Raw genomic sequence first — 6,051 nt, 5'->3', positions numbered from 1 at the left:
TCTACTGAAAGATCCTTATGGGGCACGTGACTGTATTATAAACAATGGCAATGGGGATAACAGTGAAGTGGCTGCTCCAGTAATATTTAATATACATTTATGTACAGCATCTTATGCACCTGACTTTGTTCTAAAATGTTTATAAATGTTAACTCATTTGCTACTCGGAACAACACTGGAGGTAGACTCTACTATTATCTGCATTTTTTTTTTAAAGGCAGGGTCTTGTTCTGCCACCCAGGCTGGAGTGCAGTGGTGCAATCACGGTTCATTGCAGCCTTGACCACCTGGGCTCTCAAAGGATCCTGTCACATCAGCCTCTTGATCCCCGGTGTTAGCTGGGACCACAGGTGTGTGCCACCATGACCAGCTAATGTTTTGACTTTTTGTAAAGGAGAGGACTCACTATGTTGCCCAGGGTGGTCTTGAACTCCTGGGCTCAAGGGATCCTCCCACCTCAGCCTCCCAAAGTGCTGGGATTACAGGTGTGAGCCACCATGCCCAGCCTTATTACCTGCACTTTGAAGAAGAGGAGACAGTGACTCAGAGGGGCTCTTGTGCAGGTCATGCAATGGGAAGATATGCCACTGAGGAGGAAGTGGCTGGAGGACTTCAGCACATCAACAGATCCAAATGACAGCCATGCAGCAGCAAGAGCCCGGAAAATCCAAGAGTAGAGGACATCTCGTAGTCCACCCCATGAGGTTAGCTTTACCCTGATTCCAAAGCCAGACACAGACAGCACAAGCAGAGAGAACTGCAGACATTTGTCTGTCAGTGGGTGAGGACAAGGGCCAGGGAAAGCGTGTCTGTGGGCGCATGTGTGTTAGCTGTGCGTGTGTGTTTCGGCTGTGGGACAGACTATGGATGAGAGATGGAGACAAGGTGTGAGTGTGACAGAAAGACTGGAACAGAGAGTGGGAGAGTGTATATCAGAGCGTGTGTGACAGAAGGTGTGTGTATGTGCCTGTGTTGGAGAAAGAGTGGGTGTGTCTCTGTAAAAGAGTAAAGGTTACATACAGAGGAAATGCATTTTTGAGAAAGTGAATTCCATTATTTATTACTGTAGTTGCATGTGTCACCAAGAGCTCACGAATGACAAGAGATCCCAGCTGTTTCCCATCAAACCTGACCTACACCTTTCCTGTTTCCAAACTCCAGCCCCACCAGGCCCTCTTAGGGCCTGTTCCCATCTCTGGCTGTCCCACAGACCCCAAAGCCAGGGAAAGGTCTTTCCAGCTTCCTTCAATCCCTGGTTCCTCAGACCTGCGCTGCCCCATTTAGTAAAAACTAGCTGCGTGCAGCTACTTGAATTTAAACAACTTATTCATACACTTAAGATGACAAATTCAGTTCTTCATCTGCACTACCCATATTTCAGGTACTCAACAGTGACATGGAGCTGGTTCCACTCCTTTGGAACAGCACGGAGAACATTTCCATCATCTCAGAATTTGGATTGGACGCCCTGTCGGAGACCTTTGATATCACATAAAAAATGAGAAGACCTGACTGCCTCGCCCTCATCCCAGTAAAAGAGCTCTGTGGGGACCTTCATCTCAGAGCCAGGGCTGGAATCGCACTGGATTAGGGGCATTTTTCTGACTTCAGCTCCTCCGGAGGAAGATGCCCAGTTCTGGCCGGGGGCACTGGCTCATGCCTGTAATCCTGGCACTTTGGGAGGCCAAGTCGGGTGGATTGCTTGAGCTCAGAAATCCAAGACCAACCTGGGAAACATGGTGAAACCCTGTCTCTACAGAAAATACAAAATTTAGCCAGGTGTGGTGGCACACCTGTGGTCCTGGCTACTCAGGAGGCTGAGGTGGGAGGATACTGGAGCCAGGGAAGTTGAGGCTGCAGTGAGCTGTGATCGCACCACTGCACTCCAGCCTGGGCAATAGAATGAGACCTTGTCTTAAAAAAAAAAAAAAAAAAAGATGTCCAGTTCAGAAACACACACACACACAAACACACACACACACACACACACACACACGCATCCCTCCCCTCCATCCAGACACAGGCTGCCCACTGAAGAAGCAGAGCTCAGGAGAGGTTTTCTTTTTTTTTCTCCTTTTAAAAACCTTTATTTTGAAACAATTATAGACTCAGAGGAAGTTGCAACAACAATAAGTAGAATCCCCAGAACCCTCCCCGGCTTCCCCAATATGACACTTTGTATAACTATAGTGCATTAGCAGAGTCAGGAAATTGACATTGGTGCAATCTGTTCACTAAACACCCTGTTGGGTTCTCACCAGTTTTTACAGGCACACATTTGTTCGCTGTGTGTGTGCATCTGTGGTGCTATGCAGCTTTCTTCCATGTATAGATTTGTGCAACAATCAACACAGTCAGGATACAAAACTGTTTCATCACCACAAAATAACTGCCATGTGATACCCCTTAATCATGGCTCCTCACCCCCTGTCTGATAGTGGGCACCTTGAGAGCAGAAACCCAAGAACCTGCCCCTCCCCATCCACCCCGTCTCACCGTAAGGGCTGCCCCTCCCCATCCGCCCCCTCTCACGGTAAGGGCTGCACAGAAGCCAGGCCCTCTCTGGGCTGTTGCCCCAAGTCCCTCCCAGGTCTGTCTGAGTGGCTCTGCCTGCATCTCTGTGCTCAGGGTGCCTCATCCTGACCTGCACCACTGTCTTATTGATCTCACATGCTCTTCTACACATGTATCTTGCTGTCTGCTCTCTCCCTCTTGCCTGGAACAGCTCATAGAATCACCTTGTGAAACTGGCTTTTCATAAGTCATCCTTGCTGTTTCACATTGTGTCCAGTGTAAAACACGTTTCTGTTTAAGGCAGAGATTTTCTCACTTGTCTCAGAGTCACCGTGGACGGACTCTGTCTTTGCATCAGGATATAGTTTCTGTTTATGGAAGAGATTTTCTCACTTAGAGAATACATCAGGACTGGACTCTGTCTTTACATCTTGCATCTAGCAAAAAGTAAGCCCTAAATGATTCCTTTATAATCAGAATGCAACTTATTCCAATCGCATGCAATATTCTGTCTCCCAAGCCTTGTTTCCTTGCTCAGACATTGAATCCCAAGGAGTCATTCTACCCCAGCATGCGTCGTATTTTAATAGGACCAAATTTAGATCTTAAAAAATATATATCTGTGTGTATAGATATATGAATTAAAAATATAATATTTCTTCTTTCTATATACATAAGATATACATTTAATATGTGATACATGTGTAGGAAGGGTAAATAGTAAGATTATATTCAAGTTATTTAAAATTTGAAACAAAGCTATTATTCTATAAATTAAGTACAAACCAATCACTTAGCCTTTGGTATCTGCAGATTTATTCATTTCTCTTGGTCAAGACCTGAGTCTCTGTCTAGCAAAATAAATTAGGTACAGAAAGATAAATACCACGTGTTCTCACTCCTATGTGGGAGCTAAAAAACAACCATTTTGAGCTCACAGAAGCAGAGACTAAAATTATGGGTACAGAGGCTTGGAAGAGCATGTAGAGAGGTTGGTTACTTAATAAACAATTATATCTAGATGGGAGAAATGCCTTCTGGTGTTCCATGGCACTGTAAAATAAATTGGGTTAACTCTATTGTGTATTTTCAAATACCTAAGAGAGGATTCTGAATGTTCCCAACGTAAAGAAATAATAAATGTTTGAGGTGATGTTATGTTAATTTCCTTGATTTATTACATTGTACACACATATCAAAATATCACTTTGTATGCCATAACTATGTACAGTTACTACATGTCAACTTACAGTAATGAGGAAAAGAGAATAAATGAACCAAAAACAAGACCCACGTCTGAGTCATCTAATGTCATAAGGGCCCATATTTATTTATTTACTTTGAGACAGGGTCTCTCTCAGGTCTCCACAGGAGCTGAGACTACAGGTTTACACCACCACACCAGCATAATTTTTGTATTTTTTGTAAAGGCAGGGTTTCACCATGTTGCCCAGGCTAGTCTCAAACTCCTGGGTTCAAGCGATCTGCCCGTCTCAGCCTCCCAAAGTGCTGGGAATACAGGCAGGATCTACCACACCCAACCAAGGAATCATATTAAAGCTGACCAAAATTAGTTCTCTATTTTTTTTTAAAGAAGAAATTCATTATTATGTGATAAAGTGTGAGCTAGGGAAAGTAGTAAGATTTTCATGGTCATGGATACGTATTTTTGTGTATGTCTGTTGTTAAATGCACGCACTGATTTGTAACAAAATGGACCTCACCTCAAGTCCATAAGAATCATCCAAAATGGTATCTAATGACATTCCTGGGACCTCAGCCAATATGATTATTTATGCAGAATGCAGTCACTGGGTCCTGAGGATTTCATCGGATGTTGGTTGCTGAAACTGAACTTTATCGGGTCTTTTCCCCTTCCACTTTGGTTTTCCACATTTCAACATGTCACCTAACTGTCCTCAAACTTTACTTAAATCTTTGCAACTAAATGGAATCTTTATTACCCCCACTCCTCTGCTTTTTGAAGCAACCGTTTTCCTCCTGTGATAACACTCCCTGTGGCCCCTTTTATGGTCTCTTTTGTGGTCACAGGGTTTGTAAACATTCAGACTTTTTGCAACTACATATACTTTTATTCTTATTTTTCACTCTTCTCGCAGTTGTTGCTTTTTCTTTTAACCCTTTGAGGGAGTTAATTAGCCCCCTCTTCAACTTTTGTGAAGCACCTATTCATATTTGAGCCTCTGGGTTTTTGCTTAAATTGCTTTTCAATTTACTCACTGTTGAGGAAAGCCATTATTTGGGGATTGTAAGGTGTATCAAGCTTTTCTAAAGTGTAGACTTCTCTATACATAATGGCCTCTTTCCTAGAGTAGTTATCTGACAAGTCTATTCAAACAGAGAGAAACTGGTCATGAAAAGAGCTTTTTGCAAAACTCTCCTTTAGAAGAAATGTCTCTAGTCACACAGTGCTTTCTCCCTTCTTGATTTTGTATCAGTCCGAAGCTAATCTGTCCTCACTCTGGATTGCATGAACTTGTGCCTTCTTGGGCATCATGTGTTATTAATTCTCCCTCTCTTCCAATTGTAAATGTGTTTCCTTTATTGGTTCTTACCATTTAACATAAAAGTATACTCATCTTTATGGGGGGGGGGATGAAAGCTTTCTTAACCATATATCTCCCTTTAACTATTCCCACATCTCTCTTTTCAGCCAAACTTTTAGGAGGAGAAGCCCTCAGTTGATGTCTTTACTTTCTCACTTCTAGTTCACTCTTTCCCCACTGCTGACACTCAGCTTACTCACACACATCCCCAATCACTGAGTTGCCACAGGCAATGGCATTTGTGGCTTTTCTGCCTTCTTGGCAACATATGGCTCTGTTGATTGGGGTATTAGGTATAAAGTACCTACTGACCAGGCCCTGTGCTAGGTGAGGCCATTACAGAAATGAGAAGCAGACACCACCTCCATTCCGATGAGTCTCACCAGATCAGCCATTGCTGATGAACACTCAGGTGCCCTGACTCTCACTTTTCACTTTTGCAGGCTTTACTTCATGCCACATACATTTCCCTATTCCCCAAGCCTCCTTTCTCTCCAACCCCTCCCCTTATTAGACACAGCTTTTTAAAGCAGTCACGGTCTTACCCATGGCTTCAATTGTTTTCTATATGCTGTTATGACAATAGAATTTAAATGTTGTTCTTATATAACAGTTTTATTTTACGTGACACCTCATTCGCTACAACCATAAATTCAAAGTTTCCCTAAGAAAGTAATCACTAAAAAACTATTATATTCTTAGTATGTAAATGTTAGGAAATTTCCTTAATGGTTTGAGTTACTGTGTGTGTGTTACTTTTGAAAACATGAGTTGGGATGTCACAGAATGGACTTAGCCTACAGAGGTTTACATCCAATTTTCAACCAGACGGTTCCATTTCAATGTGACATTTAAAGAGTTCAAAACTGTCTCATTCCCCACACCTCTTTCTCGTCCTACATTCTCTGTCTAGGGGAGAATCACTGCTATTTACACAGTCCATCAAACTAGGGCCTTAGCAGCCTGTTTT

The sequence above is a fragment of the Homo sapiens genome, chromosome 22 (genome assembly GCF_000001405.40).
Source record: "Homo sapiens chromosome 22, GRCh38.p14 Primary Assembly".
Lineage (NCBI taxonomy): Eukaryota > Metazoa > Chordata > Mammalia > Primates > Hominidae > Homo > Homo sapiens.
Note: the sequence above shows the minus strand (reverse complement) of the source record.